Source organism: Homo sapiens, chromosome X (genome assembly GCF_000001405.40).
Source record: "Homo sapiens chromosome X, GRCh38.p14 Primary Assembly".
NCBI classification, from domain to species: Eukaryota; Metazoa; Chordata; class Mammalia; order Primates; family Hominidae; genus Homo; species Homo sapiens.
Window position 1 is genome coordinate 56044549 of NC_000023.11, and position 14351 is coordinate 56058899.

Genomic DNA, 14351 nt, shown 5'->3' on the forward strand with positions numbered 1-14351 from the left:
GGATTGTGCTCTCACTTAAAGAAACAGTCTCGCCACAATCTGGCAAGGCAGCTGTGCTGCACTGTGGGGGACCATCCCTTGTCCATACCATCTTTATTACCCACAGCTGGCAGGATACAATGGCTTAGTCAACAAAATCGCAGAGATCATGGCTCCTTCTCACCCTGGGAAGTCAGACCCATCTCAGGTAGACTCCAACCCATTGCCATTGGCTGGATGGGATTCCAAGCCAGTGAGTCTTAACTTGTGAGGTGCTGTGGAAGAGGAGACTGCAGAATGATGCTGCCTGGCTTCCAGGATTCAGCCCCATTTCTAAAGTTATGTATGGACAGATTTCCTGCTTTGCCACTTTTTAGTTTAATTAAGTCCAATCTATTTTTGTTTTTGTTGTATTTGCTTTTGGGTTCTTGGTCATGAACTCTTTGCCTAAGCCAATGTCTAGAAGGGGTTTTCCAACATTCTAGAATTTTTATTGTTTCAGGTCTTAGATTTAATTCTTTGGTCCATGTTGAGTTGATTTTTGTATAAGGTGAGAGATGAGGATCCAGTTTCGTTCATCTACGTATGGCTTGCTAGTTATTCCAGCACCATATGTTGAATAGGGTGTCCTTTCTTCACTTTATGTTTTTGTTTGTTTTGTCAAAGATCAGTTGGCTGTAAGTATTTGGCTTTATTTCTGTGTACTTTATTCTGTTCCATTGGTCTATGTGCCTATATTTTTACCAGTACCATGCTGTTTTGGTGACTAGGGCCTTATAGTATAGTTTGAAGTTTGGTAATGTGATGCTTCCAGATATGTTCTTTTTGCTTTGTCTTGCTTTGCCTATGAAAACTTTTTTTTTCGTTCTGTATGAATTATGGAATTATTTTTTCTAGTTCTGTAAAGAATGATGGTGGTATTTTTACGGGAATTGCATTGAATTTGTAGATTGCTTTTAGCAGTATGGTCATATTCACAATATTGATTCTACCCATCTGTGAAAATAAGATTTGTTTTCATTTGTGTTATCTATGATTTCTTTTAGCAGTGTTTTTGTTTGTTTGTTTTTTGTTTTCGTAGATGTCTTTCATGTCCTTGGTTAGGTATATTACTAATTATTTTACTTTTTTTGCACCTGTTGTAAAAAGGGGTTCAGTTCTTGATTTGATTCTCTGCTAGGTCACTGTTAGTGTATAGCAGAGCTACTGATTTGTGTACATTAAATTTGTGTCCTGAATTTTTGCTGAATGCATTTATCAGATCTAGGAGCTTTTTGGATGAGTCTTTAGGGTTTTCTAGGTACATGACCATATCATCAGCAAAGATTGCTCTGGCTAGGAATTCCAGTACTATGTTGAATAGAAGTGGTGAAAGCAGGCATCGTTGTCTCTTCCCAGTTCTCAGGGGGAATGCTTTCATCTTTTCCTTGTTCAGTATAAAGTTGGCTGTGGGTTTGTCAAAAGTGGCTTTTATTACCTTAAGTTATGTCCCTTCTATGCCAGTTTTGCTGAAAGTTTTCATCACAAAGTTATGCTGGATTTTGTCACATGTTTTTTCTGCATCTTTTGAGATGATTGTATGATTTTTGTTTTTACTTCTGTTTATGTGGTGTATCACATTTATTGACTGACATATGTTAAACCATCCTTGAATCCCAGGTATGAAACCCACTTGATCATGGTGGATTATATTGTTGATATGCTGTTCAATATTGTTTGCTAGTATTTTGTTGAGAATTTTTGCATCTATGATCATCAGGCATATTAGCCTGCAGTTTTCTTTTTTTGTTATGCCCTTCTCTGGTTTTGGTATTAGGATTAGGGTGATACTACCTACTCTGTTATTAGTACTTTGGAACACTTAGCTCATTTACATTCAATGTTAGTATTGAGATGTCAGGTACTATTTTATTCATTGTGCTATTTGTTGTCTGAATACCCTGTGCATTTTTCAGTGTGTTTTTGTTGTATATGTCCTGTGAGATTTATGCGTTAAGGAGGTTCTATTTGAGGGTACTTTTAGAAGTTCTTTTAGTGCTGAATTGGTAGTGTCGTATTCTCTCAGCATTTGTTTTTCTGGAAAAAAAAAACGGTACCTTTCTTTCATCTATGAAGCTTTGTTTCACTGGATACAAAATTCTTTCCTAATTATTTTGTTTAAGGAGGCTAAACATAGGACCTCGATCTCTTCTAGCTTGTAGGGATTCTGTGGAGAAATTGGCTGTTAATCTAATACATTTTTTATAGGTTACCTGATGCTTTTACCTCACAGCTGTAAAGATTTTTTCCTTTGTTTTGACTTTACATAACCTGATGACTATGTGCTTAGGCGATGATCTTTTTTCCAGGTGTTCTTTGAGCTTTTATTTGGCTGTCTAGATCTCTAGCAAGGCCAGGGAAGTTTACCTCGATTATTCCCTCCAATATGTTTTCCAAACTTTTAGATTTCTCTTCTCTCTCATGAACACCAATAATTTTTAGGTTTGGACATTTAACATAGTCCGAAACTTCTTGGAGGCTTTGTTCATTTTTTAATTTTTTTTTTTGTCTTTGATGATTTGGGTTAATTTGAAAGCCTTGTCTTTGAGCTCTGAGTTTCATTCTCCTGCTTATTTGACTCTATTGCTGAGACTTTCCAGTACATTTTGCATTTCTCTAAGTGTGTCCTTGATTTCCAGAAGTTGTGATGTTTTTTTTTATTTATGCTATGTATTTGTCTTTTTTGTTTATTTTTTTCGTTTTTTTATTATTATTATACTTTAAGTTTTAGGGTACATGTGCACAATGTGCAGGTTTGTTACATATGTATACATGTGCCATGTTGGTGTGCAGCACCCATTAACTCATCATTTAGCATTAGGTATATCTCCTAATGCTATCCCTCCCCCCTCCCCCACCTCACAAAAGTCCCCGGTGTGTGATGTTCCCCTTCCTGTGTCCATGTGTTCTCATTGTTCAATTCCCACCTATGAGTGAAAACATGTGGTGTTTGGTTTTTTGTCCTTGCGATAGTTTCCTGAGAATGATGGTTTCCAGCTTCATCCATGCCCCTACAAAGGACATGAACTCATCATTTTTTATGGCTGCAGAGTATTCCATGGTGTATATGTGCCACATTTTCTTAATCCAGTCTATCAGTGTTGGACATTTGGCTTGGTTCCAAGTCTTTGCTATTGTGAATAGTGCCGCAGTAAACATACGTGTGAATGTGTCTTTATAGCAGCATGATTTATAATCCTTTGAGTATATGCCTAGTAATGGGATGGCTGGGTCAAATGATATTTCTAGTTCTAGATCCCTGAGGAATAGCCACACTGACTTCCACTATGGTTGAACTAGTTTACAGTCCCACCAACAGTGTAAAAGTGTTCCTGTTTCTCCACATCCTCTCCAGCACCTATACTTTACTGACTTTTTAATGATTGCCATTCTAACTGGTGTGAGATGGTATCTCACTTGTGGTTTTGATTTGCATTTCTCTGATGGCCAGTCATGATAAGCATTTTTTCATGTGTTTTTTGGCTGCATAAATGTCTTCTTTTGAGAAGTGTCTGTTCATATCCTTTGCCCGTGTTTTGATGGGGTTGTTTGTTTTTTTCTTGTAAATTTGTTTGAGTTCATTGTAGATTCTGGATATTAGCCCTTTGTCAGATGAGTAGATTGCAAAAATTTTCTCCCATTCTGTAGGTTGCCTGTTCACTCTGATGATGATTTCTTTTGCTGTGCAGAAGCTCTTTAGTTTAATTAGATCCCATTTGTCAATTTTGGCTTTTGTTGCCATTGTCTTTGGTGTTTTAGACATGAAGCCCTTGCCCATGTCTATGTCCTGAATGGTATTGCCTCAGTTTTCTTCTAGGGTTTTTTTGGTTTTAGGACTAACATGTAAGTCTTTAATCCATCTTGAATTAATTTTTGTATAAGGTGTAAGGAAGGGATCCAGTTTCAGCTTTCTACATATGGCTAGCCAGTTTTCCCAGCACCATTTATTAAATAAGGAATCCTTTCCCCATTTCTTGTTTTTGTCAGGTTTGTGAAACATCAGATAGTTGTAGATGTGCGGCATTATTTATGAGGGTTCTGTTCTGTTCCATTGGTCTATATCTCTGTTTTGGTACCAGTACCACGCTGTTTTGGTTACTGTAGCCTTGTAGTATAGTTTGAAGTCAGGTAGCATGATGCCTCCAGCTTTGTTCTTTTGGCTTAGGATTGACGTGGCAATGCAGGCTCTTTTTTGGTTCCATATGAACTTTAAAGTAGCTATTTCCAATTCTGTGAAGAAAGTCATTGGTAGCTTGATGGGGTTGGCATTGAATCTTTAAATTACCTTGGGCAGTATGGCCGTTTTCATGATATTGATTCTTCCTACCCATAAGCATGGAATGTTCTTCCATTTGTTTGTATCCTCTTTTGTTTCATTGAACAGTGGCTTGTAGTTCTCCTTGAAGAGTTCCTTCACATCCCTTGTAAGTTGGATTCCTAGGTATTTTATTCTTTGAAGCAATTTTGAATGGGAGTTCACTCATGATTTGGCTCTCTGTTTGTCTGTTATTAGTGCATAAGAATGCTTGTGATTTTTGCACATTGATTTTGTATCCTGAGACTTTGCTGAAGTTGCTTATCAGCTTAAGGAGATTTTGGGCTGAGACGATGGGGTTTTCTAGATATATAATCATGTCATCTGCAAAAAGGGACAATTTGACTTCCTCTTTTCCTAACTGAATGCCCTTTATTGCCTTCTCCTGCCTGATTATCCTGGCCAGAACTTCCAACACTATGTTGAATAAGAGTGGTGAGAGAAGGCATCCCTGTCTTGTGCCAGTTTTCAAAGGGAGTGCTTCTAGTTTTTGTCCATTCAGTATGATATTGGCTGTGGGTTTGTCATAGATAGCTCTTATTATTTTGAAATACGTCCCATCAATACCTAATCTATTGAGAGTTTTTAGCATGAAGGGTTGTTGAATTTTGTCAAAGGCTTTTTCTGCATCTATGGAGATAATCATGTGGTTTTTGTCTTTGGCTCTGTTTATATGCTGGATTACATTTATTGATTTGCGTATATTGAACCAGCCTTGCATCCCAGGGATGAAGCCCACTTGATCATGGTGGATAAGCTTTTTGATGTGCTGCTGGATTCGGTTTGCCAGTATTTTATTGAGGATTTTTGCATCAATGTTCATCAAGGATATTGGTCTAAAATTCTCTTTTTTTGTTGTGTTTCTGCCTGGCTTTGGTATCAAAATGATGCTGGCCTCATAAAATGAGTTAGGGAGGATTCCCTCTTTTTCTATTGATTGGAATAGCTTCAGAAGGAATGGTACCAGTTCCTCCTTGTACCTCTGGTAGAATTCGGCTGTGAATCCATCTGGTCCTGGACTCTTTTTGGTTGGTAAGCTATTGATTATTGCCACAATTTCAGCTCCTGTTATTGGTCTATTCAGAGATTCAACTTCTTCCTGGTTTAGTCTTGGCAGGGTGTATGTGTCCAGGAATTTACACATTTCTTCTAGATTTTCTAGTTTATTTGCATAGAGGTGTTTGTAGTATTCTCTGATGGTAGTTTGTATTTCTGTGGGATCGGTGGTGATATCCCCTTTATCATTTTTTATTGCGTCTATTTGATTCTTCTCTCTTTTCTTCTTTATTAGTCTTGCTAGCAGTCTATCAATTTTGTTGATCCTTTCAAAAAACCAGCTCCTGGATTCATTAATTTTTTTAAGGGTTTTTTGTGTCTCTATTTCCTTCAGTTCTGCTGTGATTTTAGTTATTTCTTGCCTTCTGCTAGCTTTTGAATGTTTTTGCTCTTGCTTTTCTAGTTCTTTTAATTGTGATGTTAGTGTGTCAATTTTAGATCTTTCCTGCTTTCTCTTGTGGGCATTTAGTGCTATAAATTTCCCTCTACACACTGCTTTGAATGTGTCCCAGAGATTCTGGTATGTTGTGTCTTTGTTCTCATTGGTTACAAAGAACATCTTTATTTCTGCCTTCATTTTGTTATGTACCCAGTAGTCATTCAGGAGCAGGTTGTTCAGTTTCCATGTAGTTGTGTGGTTTTCAGTGAGATTCTTAATCCTGAGTTCTAGTTTGATTGCACTGTTGTCTAAGAGGTAGTTTGTTATAATTTCTGTTCTTTTACATTTGCTGAGGAGAGATTTACTTCCACCTATGTGGTCAATTTTGGAATATGTGTGGTGTGGTACTGAAAAAAATGTATATTCTGTTGATTTGTGGTGGAGTTTTCTGTAGATGTCTATTAGGTCCGCTTGGTGCAGAGCTGAGTTCAATTCCTGGGTATCCTTGTTGACTTTCTGTCTCATTGATCTGTCTAATGTTGACAGTGGGGTGTTAAAGTCTCCCATTATTAATGTGTGGGAGTCTAAGTCTCTTTGTAGGTCACTCAGGACTTGCTTTATGAATCTTGGTGCTCCTGTATTGGGTGCATATATATTTAGGATAGTTAGCTGTTCTTGTTGAATTGATCCCTTTACCATTATGTAATGGCCTTCTTTGTCTCTTTTGATCTTTGTTGGTTTAAAGTCTGTTTTATCAGAGACTAGGATTGCAACCCCTGCCTTTTTTTGTTTTCCATTGTCTTGGTAGATCTTCCTCCATCCTTTTATTTTGAGCCTATGTGTGTCTCTGTACGTGAGATGGGTTTCCTGAATACAGCATACTGATGGGTCTTGACTCTTTATCCAATTTGCCAGTCTGTGTCTTTTAATTGGAGCATTTAGTCCATTTACATTTAAAGTTAATATTGTTACGTGTGAATTTGATCCTGTCATTATGATGTTAGCTGGTTATTTTGCTCGTTAGTTGATGCAGTTTCTTCCTAGTCTCGATGGTCTTTACATTTTGGCATGATTTTGCAGCGGCTGGTGCCGGTTGTTCCTTTCCATGTTTAGTGCTTCCTTCAGGAGCTCTTGTAAGGCAGGCCTGGTGGTGACAAAATCTCTCAGCATTTGCTTGTCTGTAAAGGATTTTATTTCTCCTTCACTTATGAAGCTTAGTTTGGCTGGATATGAAATTCTGGGTTGAAAATTCTTTTCTTTAAGAATGTTGAATATTGGCCCCCATTCTCTTCTGGCTTCTAGGGTTTCTGTTGAGAGATCCGCTGTTCATCTGATGGGCTTCCCTTTGAGGGTAACCCGACCTTTCTCTCTGGCTGCCCTTAACATTTTTTCCTTCATTTCAACTTTGGTGAATCTGACAATTATGTGTCTTGGAGTTGCTCTTCTCGAGGAGTATCTTTGTGGTGTTCTCTGTATTTCCTGAATCTGAACGTTGGCCTGCCTTGCTATATTGGGGAAGTTCTCCTGGATAATACCCTGCAGAGTGTTTTCCAACTTGGTTCCATTCTCCCCATCACTTTCAGGTACACCAATCAGATGTAGATTTGGTCTTTTCACATAGTCCCATATTTCTTGGAGGCTTTGCTCATTTATTTTTATTCTTTTTTCTCTAAACTTCCCTTCTCACTTCATTTCATTCATTTCATCTTCCATTGCTGATACCCTTTCTTCCAGTTGATTGCATCGGCTCCTGAGGCTTCTGCATTATTCACGTAGTTCTCAAGCCTTGGTTTTCAGTTCCATCAGCTCCTTTAAGCACTTCTCTGTATTGGTTATTCTAGTTATACATTCTTCTAAATTTTTTTCAAAGTTTTCAACTTCTTTGCCTTTGGTTTGAATGTCCTCCCATAGCTCAGAGTAATTTGATCGTCTGAAGCCTTCTTCTCTCAGCTCGTCAAAGTCATTCTCCATCCAGCTTTGTTCCATTGCTGGTGAGGACCTGTGTTCCTTTGGAGCAGGAGAGGTGCTCTGCTTTTTAGAGTTTCCAGTTTTTCTGTTCTGTTTTTCCCCCATCTTTGTGGTTTTATCTACTTTTGGTCTTTGATGATGGTGATGTACAGATGGGTTTTTGGTGTGGATGTCCTTTCTGTTTGTTAGTTTTCCTTCTAACAGACAGGACCCTCAGCTGCATGTCTGTTGGAATACCTGCCGTGTGAGGTGTCAGTGTGCCCCTGCTGGGGGGTGCGTCCCAGTTAGGCTGCCCGGGGGTCAGGGGTCAAGGACCCACTTGAGGAAGCAGTCTCCCCATTCTCAGATCTCCAGCTGCGTGCTGGGAGAACCACTGCTCTCTTCAAAGCTGTCAGACAGGGACATTTAAGTCTGCAGAGGTGACTGCTGTCTTTTTGTTTGTCTGTGCCCTGCCCCCAGAGGTGTAGCCTAAGGAGGCAGGCAGGCCTCCTTGAGCTGCAGTGGGCTCCACCCAGTTGGAGCTTCCTGGCTGCTTTGTTTACCTAATCAAGCCTGGGCAATGGCGGGCACCCCTCCCCCAGCCTCCTGCGGCCTTGCAGTTTGATGTCAGACTGCTGTGCTAGCAATCTGCGAGACTCCGTGGGCGTAGGACCCTCCGAGCCAGGTGTGGGATATAATCTCGTGGTGGGCCGTTTTTTAAGCCCGTCAGAAAAGCGCAGTAGTCAGGTGGGAGTGACCCGATTTTCCAGGTGCCGTCTGTCACCCCTTTCTTTGACTCAGAAAGGGAACTCCCTGACCTCTTGCACTTCCCAAGTGAGGCAATGCCTCGCCCTGCTTCGGCTTGCGCACGGTGCCCGCACCCACTGACCTGCGCCCACTGTCTGGCACTCCCTAGTGAGATGAACCCGGTACCTCAGATGGAAATGCAGAAATCACTGTCCTCTGCGTCGCTCACGCTGGGAGCTGTTCCTATTCTGCTATCTTGGCTCCTCCCCCTATTTTTTGTTTTGTTTATATAATGAATCACATTTTTTGAGTTGTGTATGTTGAACCAATTTTTAATTCTATGAATAAAATGTACTTGATCTTGGTGGATAAGTTTTTTAATATGCTGCCAGCTTCAGTTTGTCAGTGTTTTGTTGAAGATATTTACATCAATTTTCATCAAGGATATTGGCCTGGGGTGGGTTTTTTTGTTGTTTACTTGCTAGGTTTTGATGTCAGGATCGTGAAATAATTTAGGGAGAAGTCTTTTCTTTGTTTTTTTTTTTTTGGGGAATAGTTTCAGCCGGAATGATACCAGCTCTTCTTTGTACATCTGTTAGTATTTAGTTGTGAATTCTTCTGGTCTTGGGCCTTTTTTAATTGGTAGGCTATTTATTAGTGATTCACTTTTGGTGCTCATTATTGGTGTGTTCAGAGATTCAATTATTTCCTGGTTTCATCTTGGGAGGGTGTATGTGTCCAGGAATTCATCTATCTTTTTCTATATCTTTTTATTTATATGCATTGTGGGTTATTATACTGTCTGGTGTTAATTTGTATTTCTGTAGGGTTTGTGGTAATATCCATTTCATAGTTTTTGATTGTGTTTATTTAGATCTTCTCTCCCTATTTCTTCATTCTAGCTAGCTATGCACTTATTTTATTATTTTATGTCAAAAAACCAACTCCTTGAGTTAATCTTTTAATGCTTTTTCATATCTCTATCTTCTTTTCAGTTCTGATTTTGGTTATTTCTTGTGTTCTGCTACCTTTGGGGTTGGCTTTTTCTTGGTTCTCTAGTTCTTCTAGTTGTGATGTTAAGTTGTTAAATTGAGATCTTTCTTTTTATTTATTTATTTATGTATTTATTTATTTATTTTGACACGGAGTCTCTCTCTGTCGCCCAGGCTGGAGTGCAGTGGCATGCTTTCTAACTTTTTGATATGGGCAATTAGTGCTATGAATTTTCCTTTTAACACTGCCTTAGCTGTATTCTAGAGATTCTGGGATGTTGTATCTTTATTCTAATTAGTCTGAACAAACTTTTTGATTTCTATTTTAATTTCATCATTTACCCAAACATCATTCAGGAGCAGGTTATTCCATTTTCATATAATTGTATGGTTTTGAATGAATTTTTTAGTCCTGGTTTATTATTTTTTTGTGCTGTGGTCTGAGAGATTGGTTGTTATTATTTCTGTTCTTTTGCTTTTGTTTAGGATTGTTTTAATTATGATTACATGATTGATTTTAGAGTATTTGTCATGTGGATATGAGAAGAATGTATATATTACTGTTTTTGAGTGGAGAGTTTTGTTGATATCTATCAGGTCCAGTTAAGCTAGTGCTGAGTTTAGGTCCTGAATATCTTTGTTAATTTTCTGCCTTGATGATCTTTCTAATATGTTGAGTGTTGTGTTGAAGTCTCCCACTCTCACTGTGTGTGAGTCTACGTCTCTTTGAAGGTCTCTAAGATCTTGCTTTACGGATCAGAGTACTCCTATGCTCGGTGCATATATATTTATGACAGGTCTTCTTGTTTCATTGAACCCTTTACCATCACATAATGCTTTTCTTTGTCTTTTTTGATGTTATTGGTTTAAAATTTGTTTTGCCTGAAGTTAGGATTACATTTTGTGCTTTCTTTTTTTTCCATTTTCTTGGTAGATTTTTCTGCATCCCTTTAAGTCTATGTGTGTGATTTCATGTGAGATGGATTTCTTGAAGACAGCTTGCCAATGGGTCTTGGAATTTAATCGACCTTACTACCCTGTGCCATTTAATTGGGGCATTTGGCCTGTTTACCTTCAAGGTTAGTATTGATATGTGTACATTTGATCTTGTCAACATGATATTAGCTGGCTATTTTTCAGACTTGTTTATGTAGTTGCTTTATATTGTTACTGGCCTCTGTATTTCAGTATGTTTTCGTAGTGGCTGGTAATGGGCTTACTTTTCCATATTTAGTGACTTTTTCAGGGGATCTTTTAAAGTAGGTTTGATGGCAACAAATTTTCTTAGCATTTGCTTGTCTGAAAATTATCTTATTTTCTTTTTGCTTATGAAGCTTAGTTTGGCTATATATGAAATTCTGTGTTGGAGTTTATTTTCTTTAAGAATGTTGAATATTGTCTTTCCAGTAGGGTTTCTGCTGAGAAGTTCACTGTTTGTCTGATTGGATTCCCTTTCTAGGTGACCTGACCTTGTTTTCTAGCTGCCTTTAACATTTTTACTTTTATTTTGTGTTTGGAGAATCTGATGATTATGTTGCTTGGGGATGATTTTCTTCAGAAGTATTTTACTGGGATTCTCTGCATTTTTTGAATTTGCGTTTTGGCCTCTCTAGCTAGGTTGAAGAAGTTCTCATGGATGATAATCTGAAATATGTTTTCCAAGTTGTTTACACTCTCTCCATCTTTCTCAGGGACTTTGGTGAATCAAAGATTTGGTCTCTTTACACAATCCCATATTTGTCAGAGGTTTTGTTGATTTTTTTAATTTTTTTTCTCTCTTCTTGTCTGGCTGTCTTGTTTCAGAAAGCCTGTCTTAAAGCTCTGAGATTCTTTCCTCCACTTGGTCTATTTTCCTATTAATACTTTTGATTGCATTATGAAATTTTTGTAGTGTGATTTTCAGCTCTATTAGTTCAGTTATATTTCTTTCTATAGTGGCTATTTTATCTTTCAGCTCTTATATTATTTTATTTTGATTCTTAGCTTATATAGATTCGGTTTTGATGTACTCCTGGATCTCAATGATCTTCCTTTTTATTCATATTCTGAATTTTATTTCTGTCATTTCAGCCATCAGCCCTGTTCAGAACCTTTGCTGGAGAGGTGGTGCAGTCATTTGGAAGACCAAGGCACTCTGGCCTTTTGAGTTGTCAGGGTTCTTGTGTTGGTTTTCTCATCTTTATGGGCTTATGGGTTTTTTTTATTTTTAAAATTTTTGGTCTAAGTTGCTGAACTTGGATTTTTTTCTTGTATTTTATTTACGCCCTTTATGGTTTGATTGTGGTATGAAGTCACTTAAGCCAACTGGCTTCATTTCTGGAAGATTTTAGGGGAACAACACTCTACTTTGAATTCTTGTACCATTTGCTCTCACTCTGGGGGCCTTTTATCAGGCCCCAGCATTGTTCTCTGTCTCTCTGATGTTTGAAATGCACTACACTATACACCATGGAATACTATGCAGCCATAAAAAATGATGAGTTCATGTCCTTTGTAGGGACATGGATGAAACTGGAAACCATCATTCTCAGTAAACTATTGCAAGAACAAAAAACCAAACACCGCATATTCTCACTCATAGGTGGGAATTGAACAATGAGATCACATGGACACAGGAAGGGGAATATCACACTCTGGGGACTGTGGTGGGGTGGGGGGAGGGGGGAGGGATAACATTGGGAGATATACCTAATGCTAGATGACGAGTTAGTGGGTGCAGCGCACCAGCATGGCACATGTATACATATGTAACTAACCTGCACAATGTGCACATGTACCCTAAAACTTAAAGTATATATAAAAAAAAAAGAAGTGTATCATTGCAGGTGTAAAAAAAAAAAAAAAAAAAAAAGAAATGCACTACACTGAGGGGCCAAGGTGCTCTCCAACAGCTGGTCACTAGACTCTGATGGGTGGTGTCAGCCAAAATGTTTTGTAATGCGGTTACTGAAGAATCTGTTCGTTTTTGCATGTGCCAGCAACAGCAGCAGTCTGGCAGGGTGCACACTTGTCACCTGTGACAGGGTGCTAACAGGGGCTTGGGGGACTGCCTCTATGTGAGTGTTCATCACAGTGGTGAAGGCAGTTCGGCTTGGGGCCAAGGGGTCCTTTTTTGCAAGGTTCATGATGGTGGTGGTGTTGGCATGGGGTTGGAGCTCTGGGGGGCGTAGGTCTGTGTGCATTCTTTTTGTGCCACAGATATGGGTGGTTGCTCAGGGTGGAGGAGAATTCCTTTTTCTTTATGCTTAGTTTTTCTCCTGTGACAGTGTTGGTGCAAGGGTGGGCCTTGCTGATTCTGTGCTTGCCAAGGCTCTGACTGCAATGGTGGTTTGTGGAGAGAGGGTGGTGGTTTGTATATTTGCTGTAGCAGTGGAAGGGCAGGGTGCATGCATAGAGGTGCACTGACAAACCAAGGAAAGCAAACATGCCCACGTACACACTTGTCATCAAAGTGATGTGCGGGGTTGCTGTTGGCCCACGGGAAGCTGCATTGTGAGGAGGTAGCAGAAAGTCTCTTGTGTGGCCATGGGGGCAGCACTGTTGGAGCTCTCCATTGGTCAGAAACGTTTCACCAGCACAGAAGCCATGATGCAGGTCCCTAGGGCACTCAAGGCTTCTTTGAACAAGTGTGACTAGGCTGGGGCCAACTGGAGAGGCCAGGAAATTAAGGGGTGCTCATGTCAGACCAGCCCCATGTGGTGGACAAGAACACCCTGCAGAGTTAAGGTTCAATAGTTCCTCTAGGGCTAACGTCTCCTATGGGAGCAAGTCAAGCCTGGGGGAATGGCTGTCTCTGCCTCTGCTCCACTACAGATGCTGCTGCACGAAACTCTCTGGGCTTCACCTCAGCTGGATTGCTACCCTTACCACTTCTTTAAGCAGGTATCCCTGCCAACTCGAGTGTCCATGGTGGTTGAGAGGTCTCCTTCTGCTTGCATTCAAGAAGCCAATGGAGAGAACAGGTTGCTTTTTTACCATTTGAACTCATGCATTCTTCTGGAGTTACTGGCGGCCAGGAACAAGTCCCCGCGTGGAGTAGCCCCGCTTCCTCCGTCTTGCTAGCTACTGTTTCTTTCTTCTCTCCACTCTGATGATACATTAGGAGTGTGCCAATCATCTTGGTCCCTCAGTGGCAACTGGGTGCACCAGTGTTGGGCATATATATATATATATACACACATATATATATACATATATATATACACATATATATACGTGTATATATATATACACACATATATATACGTATATATACACATATATATACATATATATACATATATATATATATATATATATATATATATATATATATATATAGTGAGTTTTATATGTTTGTTTTATTTTTTATATATACTTTAAGTTCTGGGATACCTGTGCAGAATGTGCCAGTTTGTTACATAGGTATACACATGCCATGGTGGTTTGTTGCACCCATCAGCCCGTCACCTACATTAGGTATTTCTCCTAATGCTCTCTCTCCCCTAGTGCCACCCCCACCCACCCCCACCGCCAACAGGACCTGGTGTGTGATGTTTCCTTCCCTGTGTTCACGTCTTCTCATTGTTCAACTTCCACTTACAAGTAAGAACATGTGGGGTTTTGTTTTCTGTTCCTGTGTTAGTTTGCTGAGAATGATGGTTTTGAGCTTCATCCCTATCCCTGCAAAGAACATGAACTCATCGTTTTTTATGGCTGCATATACTCTATGGTGTATATGTGCCACATTTTCTTTATCCAGTCTATCATTGATGGGCATTTGGGTTGGTCCCAAGTCTTTGCTATTGTGAATACTGCTGCAATAAACATATGTGTCCGTGTGTCTTTACAGTAGAATGATTTATAAGCCTTTGGGTGTATACCCAGTAGTGGGATTGCTGGGTCAAATGATATTTCC

General features: G+C 39.3%; 1 protein-coding gene and 1 long non-coding RNA gene across 3 annotated transcripts in view; both read left to right on the plus strand.

The window, feature by feature from the left end:
- KLF8 (KLF transcription factor 8) overlaps positions 1–14351 on the plus strand; it is a 383409-nt gene that overhangs the window by 136426 nt on the left and 232632 nt on the right. The window lies entirely within an intron of this gene.
- The window catches only part of LOC124900486 (uncharacterized), a 150609-nt gene continuing 146194 nt past the window's right edge, over positions 9937–14351 (plus strand). The window contains exon 1 of the long non-coding RNA XR_007068245.1: positions 9937–10533. This is a non-coding gene — a long non-coding RNA (uncharacterized LOC124900486). The remainder of the gene's footprint in view (positions 10534–14351) is intronic.